Here is an 18,012-nt window from a genome sequence, read left to right as displayed (position 1 = left end):
ATGTTAGTGGAAAGTAGGATAATAAATGAAATAAGCTCAACCATTGTAGACAATTGTAGAAACCAGTAATGGGTACATAAGGATGCTTATAATATTCTCTCTACTTTGGTGTATACTTGAAAAGTCCATAATAAAATATTAAGAAAGAAAAGGAGACAGGGTGGAAGGGAGGAAAAGAAATGCTTCCTTCCTCATTTGTGACTAGAGCCCACTCCAGTTCCTAAGCCAATCCTGGCCGAGTCAATCTCTGGCTTGTCAGTGGTGGGCTTTGGAATCAGGTCATCTCTTCATAAGCAGGCATCGAGCAATCTGCCAGTAATTTGGCTACTAAAGTAAGCTAGTTTTGATTTGCATTTTCTTTCTCTCTTTTTTTTGAGACAGAGCCTCATTCTGTCGCCCAGGCTGGAGTGCAGTGGCGCGATCTCTGCTCACTGCAAGCTCTGCCTCCTGGGTTCACGCCATTCTCCTGCCTTAGCCTTGCGAGTAGCTGGGACTACAGGCACCCACCACCAAGCCTGGCTAATTTTTTGTATTTTTAGTAGAGACGGGGTTTCACCGTGGTCTCGATCTCCTGACCTCGTGATCCGCCAACCTCGGCCTCCCAAAGTGCTGGGATTACAGGCGTGAGCCAACGAACTTAGCCGATTTGCATTTTCTAAACTGAATTTCCCCGTTGCACTTCATACATGAGACCTGGTGTCTCCAACAGAACTCTAAGTCCAAGTGTTGGATCCCAAGTCTTCACTCAGCCCTTCTCTTGCATCTGTACTGGTTTGATCCGTAGGACCACGTGTCTGACCACTACTCCTGGCTCCTAGACCTTGGGCCTGCAGACTGATCTTGCCACATATGAACATATCTTCTAAAGGTTAACTTCCTGAACTCCTGGTATCTACCCATCTGACCGAAGCTCTGGAAGGAGTGACCGATTGCCCTTGGGCATTGTTTTTCCTCTGTCGTTTTTCCTCTATCTATTTAATAGCTGCTTCTCCAAGATTGACATCAGTGTATGTAGAGGGTCATTTCCCTCCACACCTGTTGGACCAAGACATGTCAACCCAAGTCTCTCTGTTTATGCCAAATGAGGAGAAGGAATGCGCCAAAGCATTGACAGTCCTGGGGCAGTAAAACAGGCTGGTGTTGGGCAAAGAGAGGCACGCCAACAAATGCCAAATAGGGAAACTTCCACCAGGCCCTGCAAACAGTAATATCACCAAATGCTTTTCAAAGACTTGGAACACATGTGGCGATGAGCTTGTGACCAACTGGGATTCAAGCGTTGCTTGTCTCATCTGTTTGCTATGAAATATGAGATGCAAAAGCACTTTGTCAGATTCTAACTTGAACCTTATGACCAGTTTCAGCAAAAGGATATTCAGAGGAATGGTTTTTCTGAATGACCAAAAGTGAATACAAAGCTGTGCTTTTTAAGCTCAGGGAGCCAGCTGCAAAATTATGTCTCCTCAAAATGAAAATCTTTGTCCCACTTAGAAATGGCCATTCCAATCACGAGTTCAGGAGATTGAGACCATCCTGGCCAAAACGGTGAAACCCTGTCTCTACTAAAATACAAAAAATTAGCTGGGCGTGGTGGTGCACGCCTGTAGTCCCAGCTACTCAGGAGGTTGAGGCAGTAGAATCGCTTGAACCTGGGAGGCGGAGCTTGCAGTGAGCCGAGATCATGCCACTGCACTCCAGCCTGGCGACAGAGCAAGACTCCGTCTCAAAAAAAAAAAAAAAGAAAGAAAGAAATGGCCACTCCAGCTTCCCATACATTTGTACCTTTCCAGGTCCTTTCACATGTAACTGAGCACAAGCAGGGAGAAATACATGTTTCAGGCTGAAGTCTTGCTTAACATGCAGTAAAGGCAGCTACTCAGAGGAGGTCAGATCTTGGTAGGGATTGGATATTTCTTTGGAGCCCCAGACAATGAGACACAACCAATTTCAGTCATTCCTGAACTTTATACCGATGTAAGCGGCTTGGCTGCATAAAGTCAGCCAGTGTTGCTGGGTTTAATCTCTTTCCAACTCTTTGGCACCCGATCCAGCACAGAGCTCTCCTGAGGCTGTTCCCTGACTTGAGTGTGGAGCAGAATTTCCCCTTTTTAGGTCACAAATTCAGAGTAGTCACTCATCACAGCCACTCTCTCCACTGTGTCGATTTTAAACACCCTCATTAATAACACTTACGAAACGTTGGCAAGGTGGTGGCTATCTTGAGTTGCTCCTGCTATCCATGACATATCACAAGATAGAATAACAGGAACAAATTTGCCTCTGCAGACTAGGATGATAAAAACACAGTGATATCCACCTCTTCTAAACACAGCTGAATTAAGAACCCTAGGACAAGGGTCATAGTGGATTGTTCAGAGATCTGCTAAGGGTGAGTACAGGCCCCCAAAAAGGAGTCTTCCTTTTTTTTTTTTTTTTTTTTGAGAACGTGGTCTCACTGTGTCACCCAGGCTGGAGTGCAGTGGTGTGATCTCAGCTCACTGCAACCTCCACCTCCTGGGTTCAAGCAATTATCCTCCCTCAGCCTCCCGAGTAGCTGGGACTACAGGCGCCTGCCACCACACCCAGCTAATTTTTTTTGTATTTTTAGTAGAGACGGGTTTCACCATATTGGCCAGGATGGTCTCAAACTCCTGACCTTGTGATCCACCTGCCTTGGCCTCCCAAAGTGCTAGGGTTACAGGCATGAGCCACCGTGCCCAGCCGAGGAGTCTTCCTTGTCAGTTCCTTGAGCAGCGTCTGGCTGCTCCCTTGCTGCCACCACCTGAAGTCTTGGTCTTCGTGCCTGCCTTTGGGGGTGGGATGGGACCTCTTGGGCTGAGATGGACAAATCTCCCCTAGGCTTGTGGCCTCCTTGGGATTCAGAGCATTGGATCGGGATCGCATCAGAGTGAGTTTGGTTTTCTACTGACCAATGCTCCAAGGGTACATAATTGTATTTTACCATGCTCTCCCTCTCCCCTATTAGCCAGCAGAGCTGTCCCCTACCCCAGCATGTCCCTGGCCGTTAAGCATGTGCCCTTGCATGCAGTTAGAAACACTGTCATCACCCTCAGCATTCATTTCTCTGCTCCCATGACAGCACACACTTGAGCAGCCACGTTGGAAGGCCTGCCTTTGTTCTTCTCTCTGAAAACCACTCATTCCTCACCCCTCCCAACATGTCCCATCTCCCTCCTGTCTGAGTGGTCCTGGCCCACCACATCAACCCACCTCTTAGACCCTGCTAATTGGACTAAGGGTAGATTCTGGCTTATGTGGGGACAATCAGATTTTCTCTTTAGATATTTGATAAGGAAGACCATCAAAGGAGGCCACTCATCACGAGGCAATGAGGAATGGTGGCCAGGACCAGTGGTAGAGAAGCCCAGAGTCTGTGCACGCTGGACTTAGGGAGAGGCGGGGTAAGATCCCAGCAGAGGAGATCCATCCACCCTCAGACCAGAATGAAGCCAGTGGTTGCTGAGAAGCAGGAGTGAGAAGTTGCTGCAGCCCAGAACTATGTCTGCTCAACAAATGCCCCTTTTCGGGTGGGTTTCTGTTTCTTGCAACCAAATGTGCCCCAATTGAAAGCATACTCAAAAGCTGCCCATGATGCCCAGATGCTGGTCTCATCTACGTCCTCATCCTCTTTCAGCCTCTCTGCAGCATCTGAGACTATCCCCTGAACTCCCACCTCCAGGCTCTTTCCACCTAACGCTTTTCTAACGAGCTGCTGCAAAATCCCACTCTCTTTCTCCTTCTCCAGTTCCTCCTCCCACCCTCTCAGTGAAGCCAACCAGGAGCTTCAGGATTTGGTGTTCTAGCCTGGTCTTCTCCTTGGAGAGTCCATTGATTCCCATGGCTTTCTCTATTGAGTCCAGGGAAAAGACTCTAAACCTAAAGCACCTGCCCTGACGTCTCACTCCTGCACCAACTGCATTTTTAAATCTCCCATCAATGTCTCTGCTTAGATGATTCAGCCTCTTGAAATGTCCACTTAACATCTTTCCCTCAAGCCAATCCCTCTCTTGCCTTGCTCATCAGATTTAGAGGACCTCGTTCTCTCAGTCATGTGGCCTGGGACCACTGTGGTCATTCTACACCTCATGGTGACTGCCTGCTTAGCATCACTTAATAAGTGTTTGCTGAATGAAATGAAGAAATGAATCTTGTATTTTTCCCTCTGTTTCATTCCTCTTCTCTCTCACTGATAGAGTTTGGAGGTTTGTCTCCTCTAAATCTCATTTTGAAATGTGATCCCCAGCATTGGAAGTGGGGCCTGGTGGGAGGTCATGGGGGCGGATCCCTCAGGAATGGTTTGGTGCCTTCCTTGTAGTAAGCAGTGGCTTCTCACTCTATTAGTTCACATGACAGCTGGTTGTTTAAAAGGGGCTGGAGGCTAGGTGAGGCAGTTCTCTTCTGTAATCCCAGCACTGTGGGAGGTCGAGGCAGGATGATCGCTTGAGCTCAGCCTGAGCAACACAGCCTGAGCAACACAGCAAGACCCGGTCTCTCTACAAAAAATAAGAAAATTAGCCAGGTGTGGTGGTGCGTGCCTGTGGTCCCAGCTACTCGGGGGGCTGAGGTGGGAGGAGTGCTTGAGCCCAGGAAGTCAAGGCTACACTGGACCACTGCACTCCAGCTTGGGCAACAGAGCAAGATCCTATCTCAAATAAAAAATATAAATGAAAAGGGCCCGGCAGCCAGGTGCAGTGGCTCATGCCTGTAATCCCAACACTTTGGGAGTCCAAGGCGGGCAGATCACGAGGTCAGGAGTTTGAGACCAGCCTGGCCAGCAGGGTGAAACCCCATCTTTACTAAAAATACAAAACTTAGCTGGGCATGGTGGCACGCACCTGTAGTCTCAGCTACTCAGGAGACTGAGGCAGGAGAATCGCTTGAACCCAGGGGGCGGAAGTTGCAGTGAGCCAAGATTGCGCCACTGCACTCCAGCCTGGCGACAGAACGAGACTCTGTCTCAAAACAAAAAAAAAGAAAAGATCCTGGCATCTCTCTTGCTCTGTCTCTTGCCATGTGACATGCCTGTTCCCTCTTGGCCTTCCACCATGAGTGAAAGCTTCCTGAGACGGCAGCAGACGCCAAGTGGGTGCTAGTGCCAAGCCTGTACAGCCTTCAGAACCATGAGCCAACTATCTCTTTTCTTTATAAACTACTCAGTCTCAGGTGTTCCTTTACAGCAATGCAAAACAGACTAATACACTCACCATGCCACTAGAACTGGGAGGAGTTTTGCCCCCTGTATACACACATACGCAGATATTACACAATAGATTATAAGTGGTGTCAGTGGGATAAAGGCTTTTGGTCGGGGCGTTTCTGTTTTATGGAACAGGGTATGAAACAGTACATACACACACACTTCTGTGTTTAACTGAACTGTAGGATTCTCTCATGAGGCTTAGAATTCTGCCTAACTTTGGCTTTAACCTGATGATTCAGTTATAACTGACACCAAGTCAAACTCAGAAACACAGCGTTTGCCAAGATCACACGGCGGCTCAAGTTGGCAGGCACAACATCAGAAACAGGCCTGGAAAGGCACTTGTGAGAGTCTAGAGAAATACCTGTGCAAACATGTCAAGGTCAACACAATACGAGCTTTCAAATGACTTTCTCCCACAAAGTCCTACAAACCCTCAGGGCCTTAGGGGTTCTCTCTGAAGTCATCATTCTGCAGAATCACAAACATTTGAAACTAAAATTTGTGATGGGCAGAATCACAACAGAGGCCAGAAGAAATTCCAGTAATCATCCAGCGCAACTCCTTATTTCACAAATGAAGAGATCGAGGTCTAGATTAATGGGGCCATAGTCTATCAAAAGTAACCAGTGACGTATTAGAAAAAGTACAGTTCATTTGGCTTAAAAAACAAGGAGTGGAGAGGCACAGATATGCCTTTAATTTCACTTTATAAGGAAAGCAAACAAGCAATGCTTTTATCCCTCTAATCTCAGTAGTCAAACCGGTTTAAAGCCACAGGTTGCTCAAAGGAAGAAGCCCTCAGTCTGAGACTCACTCACCCAGGATCCCCCCAGCGTGGAGAGGAGGAGGAGAGAAGCGGGAGAAGGCCCTCTCTTCCAGAGGCTCCTTTTCAGCACTGCCCTCCACCCGCAGTCTGTCTTCCCCAGGATCACATGGAATTGTTCTATAAATGTGCATTGGCTTAAGGTTGGGAACGCCGGCCTGGGAGGCAGTGGCGTGTAAGCAATCTGACCCAGGCCAGGCAGCGGCTTTCCAGAAGGCTCTGCAGCCCAGAGGGAGAGGGTAATAAGGAGCAGGGAGCCTGCAGGTGCCGCCAGCCTCCAGCTCTCTGTGCTTCTCACTACACATTTATTTGGGATCCGAAGCCAGTGTCAACTACCTTGGGCTGCAATTTGATTTACTTGACTTATATTTTGGCTGGGACAAGCCACTTTTCAAAACAAAGCAACCATAAAAGAAGAAAAAAACAAGGCATAAAATTAGCAGTGCTTCTAGTAAATAGGGACAGGTCATCACCAGCCTCAGCTGACAGTATCAAGCAGTCCTTTTCAAACATGTCAATATGCCTCCTTTAGAAAGGGAGAATGAGCAGTTAGTTAGGCGAGTTCTAAACAGCATGTCACCTACAGTTTCATCAGTAGCCAGGGAATTAAAGATGCAATCATACAATGGGAAACGAAGCGGCTGGAGAAAGGGTGAGGAGCTCTTTATATACCGTCACTGAAAACTCTCCAAGATACATCAAGTGAAAAATATTAAGATACAGAACAGTGTGTATGATATACTATTGTTTATGTAAAGAAAAAAGAAAGGGGCTGGGTGTGGTGGCTTACGTCTATATAATCTCAGCACTTGGGGAGGCCAAAGAGGGCAAATCACTTGAGCTCAGGAGTTTGAGAACAGCCTGGGCAACACAGAGGGACCTTGTAGAGTCTACTAAAAGTACAACAAAAAAATTAGGCAGGCATGGTGGCGCACGCCTGTAGTCCCACATACTTGGGATACTGAGGTGGGAGTATCGCTTGAGCCAGGGCGGTTGAGGTTGCGGTGAGCTGTGATGGTGCCACTGCACTGTAGCCTGGGTGACAAATTGAGAACCTGTCTCCAAAACAAACAAACAAAAAACAAAAAACAAACAAACAAAAGCCCCGAAAGGAGGATATACATTTATGTGTAAATACTACATTATAAAGGCAATGATCTAAACCTAACCATACAATGTGCTACATTATAATATATAAATAATTCTTTCTGGAAACTCACATAAGAAACTAGTGACAGTGGGTGGACTCGGGAGCAGGGAAAGAGGAAGACTTCCCTCTCATATTTCTTTTCTAGTCTAGGGATTTTATCTCATGTGAATGTATAATTTTTCAGAGAAAATTTAAAAGGTAATCTAATTTTCATCGGAAATATTTAATTTTCAAAATTATTCTAGTATTCAGAGTGCAAATTCAAGTGACTACAACTCCTTTTTTTCACACATTTAAAAGTTAGTTGAGTTGTCTTCCTTAAGAAGACTGAGTTTTATAATAACTAAAATGCTGTAATACCAAAGGACCTCCCAGAGAGTTTTGTTTTGTTTGTTTGTTGTTGAGGCAGGGGTCTTGCAACATTGCCCAGTCTGTTCTTGAACTCTTGGCTCAAGGGATCCTTCCGCCTTGGCCTCCCAAAGTGCTGGGATTACAGGTGTGAGCTACCATGCCTAGCTTCCCAGAGAGTTTTGAATGAGGGTTCTGAAGGCTGGATGCTAAGTCTCGATTCAGCTATTTTTTCTTTCTTTTTTTTTTTTTTTAGAGACAGTCTCACTCTGTTGCCCAGGCTGGAGTGCAGTGGCACGATCTTGGCTCACTGCAACCTCTGCCTCCCAGGTTCTAGCAATTCTCCTGCCTCAGCCTCTGGAGTAGCTGGGACTACAGGTGCCCACTGCCACGCCTGGCTAATTTTTTGTATTTTAGTAGAGACGGGGTTTCGCCGTGTTGCCCAGGCTGGTCTCAAACTCCTGAGCTCAGGCAATCCACCCTCCTTGGCCTCCTAAAATGCTAGGATTACAGGCGTAAGCCACCATGCCCAACCAATTCACCTATTTTCTAGCAGTGACTTGGATCAATTGCCCAAGCACTAAGCACTTCCATTTCATCAGGCAGAAAAAGAGAATGATCCCACACTCCACCTTCTTCATAGGCCCAGCATGACTTAATCATGATGATGTACATAAAAGCCCTCCAAAAATGGAAAATCCCTATTCTAGAACTGAGTTGTTCTGTGCAATTACATTTTATAACTTTTCTTGAAGTTCTTGTGTAATTCTGCACTCAAATAACTTAAGTCAAATTTTCCTGTTGGAAAAAGCATTAAAGTAAAGGGGCCCCTACATAAAACCATGTGGCGTGTTTTCACATTAGCACTTTTTCGGCTCTTAAAACCTTCAGGTTTTTCACTTTCTCAGCATCACCTCTCTTGTGTACAAACTGCTTTCTTCCAAAAGAACAGCCTGGCATATCAGGGTGGGCTGTTCTGGGCCTTCTTCACAGCTTTCTACCACTTCTCACTTTTGTTCCCAGTTTATTGATCTGGGAACAGTTTTTTAGTACTCCCACTAGCACCAACACATAAAACGTGGGTGAAATGGTGATGCAGTTTGGCTGTGTCCCCACCCGGATCTCATCTTAAATTCCCACTTGTTGCAGGAAGGACCTGGTGGGAGGTAATTGAATCATGGGGGCAGGTCTTTCCCATGTTGTTCTCATGATAGTGAATAAGTCTCACGAAATCTGATGATTTTATAAGGGGAGTTTCCCTGCACAAGCTCTTTCTTTGCCTGCTGTCATCCATGTAAGATGTGACTTGCTCCTCCTTGCCTCCTGCCATGATTATGAGGCCTCCCCAGCCACACGGAACTGTGAGTCCATTAAACCTTCTTCCTGTGTAAATTGCCCATCTTGGGCATGTCTTTATCGGCAGCATGAAAATGGACTAATGCAAATGGCTTTGAGATATAAAAAAGTTTTAAATTACACTAAAGTCACAAGTCAGAGTTCCAATGTCTGTAAACAACAGTGCAGTTCCCATGATCCTGATGAAAACCTGCAGACATCTCTGTATACCGGCTGAGATGGTGCCACCATACAGCAACAGTGTGAGTGCAGTTTCTATCATTCACTCAGCTGCTCAGCTTTGAAATGATTCTTGACCAAAACATTCATTCATTAATTAGCAAAAAAGACTTATTTTTAATTTGAGATGTGAACTATTTCAAAACTTGCTCATAAAGTCAGGTTTGATTAATGTTATTTTATTTCATATTAGTTCCTATTTGCCCAGTTGAAATACACGTAAACACAACCTTGCTGAAAATCACTAGCATGTGGCGGACAGCGCAAAGAAAACAAAACATTTCCCAGGCAATGCTTAGAGCTCCTGATTATTTAAAAGCTCTGAGGGGAAAATAAATTTAAAGTAATGTTTGAAATGACAGTAAACAGGTGGATTTATAAAAATAAAAATATACAATGTTTAAGGTTCATTTATCTCCATACATAAAATAAATAAATAAAAGCCCTCTCTTTACTGAAGAAGACAGAACACACAAATGCAACTCCTTTCCTTTAAGAGACTTCATTAAAATGATAACAAAGGCATTTTTAAAAACAAGTAGGTCCAGATGAGGCGTAGTGGCTCATACCTGTAATTCCAGTACTTTGGGAGGCTGAGACAGGTGGATCACTTGAGGTCAGGAGTTTGAAACCAGCCTGGCCAATATGGCAAAATCATCTCTACTAAAAATACAAAAATTAGCTGGGCGTGGTGGCAGGTGCCTGTAATCCCAGCTACTCAGGGGGCTGAGGCAGGAGAATCGAGTGAACCTGGGAGGCAGAGGTTGCAGTGAGCCGAGAAGGCAACACTACACTCCAGCCTGGGTAACACAGCGAGTCCCTGTCTCAAAAACAAACAAACAAACAACAACAACAAAAAAACAGGTATGTCCAGACAATAATGTAATAATGTGGCAAACTGGAGAAGGCACATTAGCTGATGAGAGCTTTCTCCATGGTTGTGGGTAATGGAAAGCAGTGACGGCCTGGTAGTTGAGGAATTAGGGCAGAGGGGCATTAGACTAGAGTAGAAGGGGCTCCAGCCAAACAAGACTCTGCAGACCCTGGAGAGGGTCTGAAACACCAGGAACAATGGTGGGAACGTACTTGGGCAGAAAATTAAAAATAAGTGTCAATGGAATCTACCCTTTGCCCTGCCTGGCCCCGTGCCATAAGACAAAAACAAAATTGAAAACGAAAGCAAAACCTTTCCTATATCCTGATATTTAAAATTCTGGCAGTGTTTGGTGGCTCATACCTATAATCCCAGCACTTTGGGAGGCTGAGGCAGGAGGATCACTTGAGCCTAGGGGTTTGAGACCAGCCTGGCCAACACGGCGAGACCCCCATCTCTATAAAAAATAAAAAATATTAGCTGAATTTAGTGGCATGCACCTGTAGTTCCAACTACTTGAGAGGATTGCTCCTGGTGGGAGGATTGCGTTAGCCCGGGAGGTCGAGGCTGCAATGAACCATCATTATGCCACTGCACTCCAGCCTGGGCAGTAGAGCAAGACCCTGTCTAAAAAAAAAAATCCACAGAAGGTTGAAGGTAAATTTAATAAAATATCTCAAAAAACAGAATTAAAGAAATATTTAAAATATGAAAAAATATTAAAGGTCTGGAGAATCAAACTGTGAGGTCCCTATCTAAGTGACGGGAGATGCAGACATGACACAGAAAAGTAGAAGGAAGAAAGTGTCGAGGTGGTAACATAAAAATATTTCCCATGCTGCACATGCTGGCATGTGCTTGTGGTACCAGCTGCTTGGGAAGCTGAGGCAGGAGAATCACTTGAGCCCAGTAGTTCTGGGCTACAGTGAGCCATGATCATGCCACCGCACTCTGGCTTGGATGACAGAGTAAGAACCTATCTCTAAAAACATAAAAAAAAAAAATAAAATTAATTTAAAAAATAAAAATAAATCATAATTTTTTCCAAAGTTGAAAGACGCAAAAGGGCTCTCACTAGGTGCCTAGCACAGTAGATGAAAATACCTCATACAGTTCTGTGAGTTGGCTGGGCTCAGCCAGGCAGTTCTCACCTTGAGTGATGGTGCTCCCCAGCCACTGAACCTAAGAAGATAGGGTTTTCCTACCCTGTATTTTCAAGTAATGGGAATCAGAGCCAACTTCATTTTCCAGCCCTCTCCTCCTTACTTACCGCACTCCAGCTGTTACCAGTAGGGAATCTGATGTGTCTGCAGCAGCAACTCTATTCTTCCCTCCTCAGAGGAAAAAATTCGCCCAAGGGGCATAAGGTAGAGTAAGAAACCAAGATAACTTTTAGAGCAGGAGTGAAAGTTTTTAAAAAAGTTTTAGAGAGGAATGAAAGGAAGTAAAGTATACTTGGAAGAGGACCAAGCGGGTGACTTGAGAAATCCCAGTGCACTGTACAACCCTTAATGTGGGGTTTTATATGTTGGCACGGTTCTGGGATTTGCGTTTCTTCTCTCCTGATCCTTCCCTTGGAGCAGGCTGTCCACTTATGCAGTGGTCTGCCAGCACTTGGGAGTGGCCGCACTCACAGTGTGTTTACTGAAGTTGTGCGCGTGCTCATTTGAGGCATTTTTCCCTTGCCAGTCGAGAATTCCTAGAGGAAGGTCATATATTAGTTAAACTCTGACATTTTGCCCCTTAGGGCCCATGCTTGAGCCCACTTGCCCAACTCCTGAGATCTTATCAGGAAGCGGCTGACACTAGCTTCAGGTGTTTTCTATCTATTGGGAGCCGGCCTTTCCCTGGTGCTGGCTGCAACCAATGATGATTTTAGAGAAACAGTGTAACAACCACCTGACCATCACATGATGGTCGCCTGACATTCCTGGTTGGGGGTGGGGGTGGAATGCCCTCTGCTGCCCTTCTCATGTTCCCCTAGCTACCTACTCTAACACAGGTATGTATGCCTTTCTGAACTTTCTTGAATGTGTCAGACTTATTTTAACCCCAAAGACTTTTTTTTGCTATTGCCTTTGACTACAATATGACTTCCCTGTATTTTTGCATGACACATTACTCCTCACAATTCAAGTCACATCTCAAATGTCACCTCCTCAGGAAAGATGTTGTGCTGCTCATCACACCTAAAATAGCAACTTTCAGGTCGGGCACAGTGACTCATGCCTGTGATCCCAGCACTTTGGGAGGCCGAGGTGGGTGGATTACTTGAGGTTAGGAGTTCAAGACCAGCCTGGCGAACATGGTAAAACCCCCTCTCTACTAAAAAGACAAAAATTAGCCGGGCGTGGTGGCAGGTGCCTGCTATCCCAGCTATTTAGGAGGCTAAGGCAGGAGAACTGCCTGAACCCAGAGGTGGAGGTTGCAGTGAGCCAAGATCGCACCACTGCACTCCAGCCTGGGTGACAGAGTGAGACTCTATCTGGAGGGAAAGAAAAAATGCAACTTCTATTCTCCACCTATCCCTTTAGCCTATTTAAATTCTTCATAGCACTTACAATGACCAAATCCTTTTTTTTTCTTTTCTTTATTATCTGTCTCCTCCATGAGAGTAGGGACTTTGTCTTATTCATCATTATACAGATGGTTCTGGAGCCACCCAACAAGTTCTTCTTCCCCACTGCACAGACAAAAATCAATTCACTGAGACCATGGCATTGCAATAGAGAAAGAGTTTAACTGCCGCGAGGCTGAGCCCACGTGGGAGAACTGGAGTTATCCCTCAGATCAGTCTCCCTGTAGGCTCGGAACAAGGGTTTTTATGGACAATTTGGTTGTCAGGGGGTAGGGGGATAGTGCCGCTGATTGGTTGGGGATGAAATCATACCGGTGTGGAAAGCAGTCCTCATGCACTGAGTCTGCCTCTGGGTGGGGCCCCAGGACCTGTTGAGTCATGAGTCATGAGTCTGAGTGAGGTCAGTCTGAAAAACATCTTAAAAAACTCAATCTTGGCTGGGCGCGGTGGCTCACGCCTGTAATCCCAGCACTTTGGGAGGCCCAGGTGGGTGGATCACAAGATCAGGAGTTCGAGACCAGCCTGGCCAAGATGGTGAAACCCCGTCTCTACTAAAAATACAAAAACAAACAAACAAACAAACACCCCAATCTTAAGTTCTACAATAGTGATGTTACTTACAGGAGCAATTGGGAAAGTCACAGATCTTGTGAACTCTGGCCACATGACCCCTGGGCATTAAGGGACTATAGAAACTATGCCTACATTTTAGCAGAGTTCTGCCTTCTCCCATTATCCTATTCCTGTGGCCTTTCATTAGTCTTACAAAGGCGATTTTGGTCCCTGAGAAAGGAGGGGGTTAGTTTTAGGGAGGGACTATTATAATCTTTACTTTCAAATTAAACTATAAATTGAATTCCTCCCAAAGTTAGCTTGGCCTATGCCCAGGAATAACCAAGGACAGCTTGGAGGTCAGAAGCAAGATGAAGTCAACCATGTCACATTTCTGTTACTGTCAGTTCTGCAAAGGCAGTTTCCTTCCCTAACATAACAATAATTTGATGTAGATTTATCATAAGATGGCTCAAAAGAGAGAATGCATTCAGCAGAAACTGTACTTTGAGTATTCAAACAACTATTCTGTTTTTCAAATTCAGTACAGTATTCAATAAATTCTATGAGATTCAACACTTTGTCACAAACTAGGCTTTGTGTTAGGTGATTTTGCCCAACTGTAGGCTAATGCAAGTGTTCTCAGCACGTTTTAGGTAGGCTAGGCTATGCTACTTTAACAGCTACATTGTCTAGAGTATTTATGCTGGGGTTCCTTGTCTCACAATGAGAAAGAATTCAGGACACAGACACACGTGGGTGGGTTAAGAAGTAGAAAACTTAATAGAAGAAAGGAGAGAGAGAGAAGTCCAAAACGGGAGGCGGCGGACCGCAGCAGATTTTATAGGCAGGCTGGAAAAGGTGGTGTCTGATTTACGCAGACCTCATAGATTGGTACCATCAGGTATGACATTTACATAGCCCGCGAGGAAGACTGGCTGCCCCACCCTAATCTTATTATGTAAATGGACTCTCCAGTTGATCAGCACTATCTTGACTGCTCTTTAATACATTGTATGGTGGTCGACAAAGAGAAAGGAAGACAGAGCCACCATCTTGAACACATATAGTCCCTAGCTCCTGCCGGCATTCACCTGTGCAAGCTCCCAGCTTGCTTGTTTATATCTGCAGCTCAACTTTATAGGCTGCTCTTTGTTAAAAAACAATTTGGGGCTGCTTTTCATTAAGGATAAAAGCCTTACCAAGGACTTCCGTACCCTCACTATCTGCCCAAGTAATTTCTTCTTAACTCCCATATCCCTATGTTCAGTAGGTTAGGTGTGTTAAATGCATTTTCAACTTACAATACTTTTAACTTATGAAGAATTTACAGGGAGCACCTGTATCATTAGTGCCTAGAACATACTTGGAATGTTTGTTGAGTGAATGCTGGATCAGAATCTTGGCTGGGCATGATGGTTCATGCCTGGAATCCCAGCACTTTGGGAGGCCGCGGCGGGCAGATCACCTGAGGTCAGGAGTTTGAGACCAGCCTGGCCAACATGATGAAACCCCATCTCTACTAAAAATACAAAACTTAGCCAGGCATGGCGACCCGTACCTGTAATCCCAGCTACTCGGGAAGCTGAGGCAGGAGAATTGCTTGAACCTGGGAGGCGGAAGTTGCAGTGAGCCGAGATCACACTATTGCACTAGAGCCTGGGTGACAAAAGTGAGACTCCATCTCAAAAAAAAAAAAAAGAAAGAATCCATTTCAGGCAGACAATGGAACAATGCTTTTAAATTCCTGATGAAAAATTAGTTTCAGCTCAAAATTCTATATCCAGTCAAATCTTCAACTAAATGGAAAAGAAAAATAAAGACATTTTTTAGACTCATAAAACTAGCTTGCTTTACATCTCTTCTAAGAAAATACCTCAGCAAAACCAGGGCATAAACGAAACAAAAGTTTTAAACATGGAATCCAGAAAGCAATGAGTTTAACCAAGGATGGCAGTAAAGGGAAACCCCATGGTGACAACTGTGTAGCAAGACTGGAATAACAGCTCATCCAAATTGAAGTGGGCAGACACAGGGCCCTGGGATGGAGATCTCTAGGGGAAAAAAAAAGGAGAGCCAGGCATAGTGGCTCACGTCTGTAATCCTAGCACTTTCAGAGGCCAAGACAGGCAGATCGCCTGAGGTCAGGAGTTCAAGACCAGCCTGGTCAACATGGTGAAACCCTATCTCTACTAAAAATACAGAAATTAGCTGGGTGTGGCAGTGGGTGCCTGTAGTCCCAGCTACTCGGGAGGCTGAGGCAGAAGAATTGCTTGAACTCGGGAGGTGGAGGTTGCGGTAGCCAAGATCACGCCACTGCACTCCAGCCTGGGAGACAGAGCAAGACTCTGTCTCAAAAAAAAAAAAAAAAAAAAAAAAGAAAGAAAAAAGAAAAGAAAAGAAAAGAAAAAAAAGGAGGATTTCCATAGAAAAGTGAATTTGATGAAGAGGTTGGAAAAAGTTGACAATATATTTCTTCAAATAGTACCAAAAAAGCAATTAGAAACTGTAGAGGAAAGCAAAAGTATAAAAGAGAAAATGTAATTGGTAATCTTATTGATCACAAGCTCTGTATCAAACAATATTCACAGAGATCCAAAAAGAAAAATATTCCACATTGATTTCCAAATTTGTGAATCAACTTATAGATGAAGAAGAGATGATTTACTTGTGGTTACAGAACAGCCTTGATGATGTTGTGGGGGGACCTGTGATGCACTGTCCAGGGAAAAAAGAAATTATTTTCCCAGTGACTGGAAATGCTGCCAGCAGACAGCTCTCAGCTGTGTGCCCCTTTGCAGACTGCCTCAGCGGAAGAGAGCTGCATAGTGTGAAACTCAGCTGCTTCCTCTGCCCAATCCTGTTTCCTTCCTTTCTGCAATACATCCCCTAACAAACCTCCTGCATGCCAATCTGTTTCGTAGTCTGCTTCCCAGAGAATCCAACCTGTGATAATTGGTACCAGAAGTGGGGTGATCCAAAAAAAACCAAAACAGGAGGACTGGATGTTTGGGGTTGAGTCACCTGCCACCTGGCTATGAGGACACCATCATTGGTGGAAGGTGGCACACAGATTGTCTCTGGCAGAAGGTGATGGTGCAATTACTAAAACTTTTGCTAGTGATGAGCTCAGATGGTACCTTAGTGAAGGAAATGTATTAGCTTGGATGTATCAGGTGCTAGAGACATGAAAGAAATAGTAAGTATAGTGTTATTGCCCAGCTGGATTAACACTTTGGAAAACACTGAGAGCATCAGCAATTGCAGCTAAGTGTCAAAGCCTGAGTGCCAAGCATGCAGCCAGCATGGCCAGAGATTGGTTACAGGAGGATTAGGCAATGACTCCTATTATCAATGATAATAGGAACCAGGGTTCTTACTGTTGAGAAGGAATTTACAAATACGGAAAGAGGATGTATTAGTCAGGTTTTGCAGAGAAACAGAACCAATAGGATATACGTAGATACGTAAGATAAGATTTTTTTGTGGGCCTTGGCTCATGGAATTAGAGAAGATGAGAGGTCCCACGATATGCCATCTGCAGGCTGGAGAACTAGGAAAGCTGGTGGTGTACTGCAGTCGGAGTCCAAAGGCCTGAGTAGCAGGGGAGCAGATGGTGTAACTCCCAGTCCAAGGCCAAAGGCCTAAGAAGCAGGTGGCAGGGTGATGGTGCTGGTATAATTCCTGGAATCTGAAGACCTAAGAACCAGGAGCTCCTATGTCTGAGCTCTAAAAGAAAGAAAACTCTCCTTTAACAACAACAAAAAAGATTTCACTCGGGCTTTCACAATTGAGTAAACATATTTAAATTGTTCTGTATCTCCTAAGTCTCGCAGTTCAAAGTGTGGTCTCTGATCAGTAGCATCACTATTAACTGGGAGCTTGTTAGAAATGTACAATTGGGGCCAGGTGTGGTGGTTCACATCTGTAATCCCAGCACTTTGGGAGGCCAAGGCAGGCGGATCACGGGGTCAGGAGATCAAGACCATCCTGGCTAACACAGTGAAACACAGTCTCTACTAAAAAAACACAAAAAAATTAGCCAGGCGTGATGGCAGGCACCTGTAGTCCCAGCTACTTGGGAGGCTGAGGCAGGACAATGGCGTGAACTCAGGAGGCGGAGCTTGCAGTGAGCTGAGATTGCACCACTGCACTCCAGCCTGGACAACAGAGCGAAACTCTGTCTCAAAAAAAAAAAAAAAAAAAAGAAATGTACAATTGGGGTGGGCCTGGCAGCTTATGCCTGTAATCCCCGCACTTTGGGAGGCTGAGGTGGACGGATCACCTGAGGTCAGGAGTTCGAGACCAGCCTGGCCAATATGATGAAATCCCATCTCTACTAAAAATACAAAAAAAAAAAAAAAAAAAAAAGAAAGAAAGAAAAAGAAAAAAATTAGCTGGGTGTGGTGGCACGCACCTGTAGTCCCAGCTACTTGGGAGGTTGAGGCAGGATAATCGCTTGAACCTGGGAGGCAGAGGTTGCAGTGAGCTGAGATAGTGCCACTGCACTCCAGCCTGGGCAACAGAGCAAAACTCTGTCTCAAAAAAAAAAAAAAAAAATAGAAATGTAAAATTGGAGGCCCATCCCACATCCACTGAATCAGAATCTATATTTTTAACAAGATCCCCAGGTGATGTGAATGCATGTGAAAGTTTGAGAAGCACTGGTTTACAGCATGACTGAGGCATGTGGTCTAGAATTGAGGTTCCAAGTACTTAGCAGGTGTGATCATGTTTACTAACATGCCCTGTTTTGTTGACATGAGAGAGATCATATACTTTTTTTTACTTTAGTGGCTCTTTTTATTCATTTACATATTCTCTTTTTTTTTTTTTTTTTTTTGAGACAGAGTCTTGCTCTGTCGCCAAGCTGGAGTGCAGTGGTGCA

The 18,012-nt window shown here is 44.9% G+C and overlaps 1 protein-coding gene across 39 annotated transcripts in view; it reads right to left on the bottom strand.

Annotated features, from left to right (window-relative positions):
* The window catches only part of TACC2 (transforming acidic coiled-coil containing protein 2), a 265,380-nt gene extending 253,790 nt beyond the window's left edge, over positions 1-11,590 (bottom strand). For 33 of the 39 annotated variants that reach the window (XM_024447756.1, XM_005269390.1, XM_017015485.1 and 30 more), the window contains exon 1: positions 6,043-6,121. The gene's annotated coding sequence lies outside the window, so the exon portion shown is untranslated. Of the gene's footprint in view, positions 1-6,042; positions 6,122-11,264 lie in introns of those variants that run through there. The other 6 variants (NM_001291877.2, NM_206862.4, NM_001438366.1 and 3 more) reach the window with 1 other exon arrangement.

This window comes from Homo sapiens, chromosome 10 (assembly GCF_000001405.40).
Source record: "Homo sapiens chromosome 10, GRCh38.p14 Primary Assembly".
Classification (NCBI taxonomy): domain Eukaryota; kingdom Metazoa; phylum Chordata; class Mammalia; order Primates; family Hominidae; genus Homo; species Homo sapiens.
Note: the sequence above shows the minus strand (reverse complement) of the source record. Positions and strands in the feature narration are given on the sequence as shown.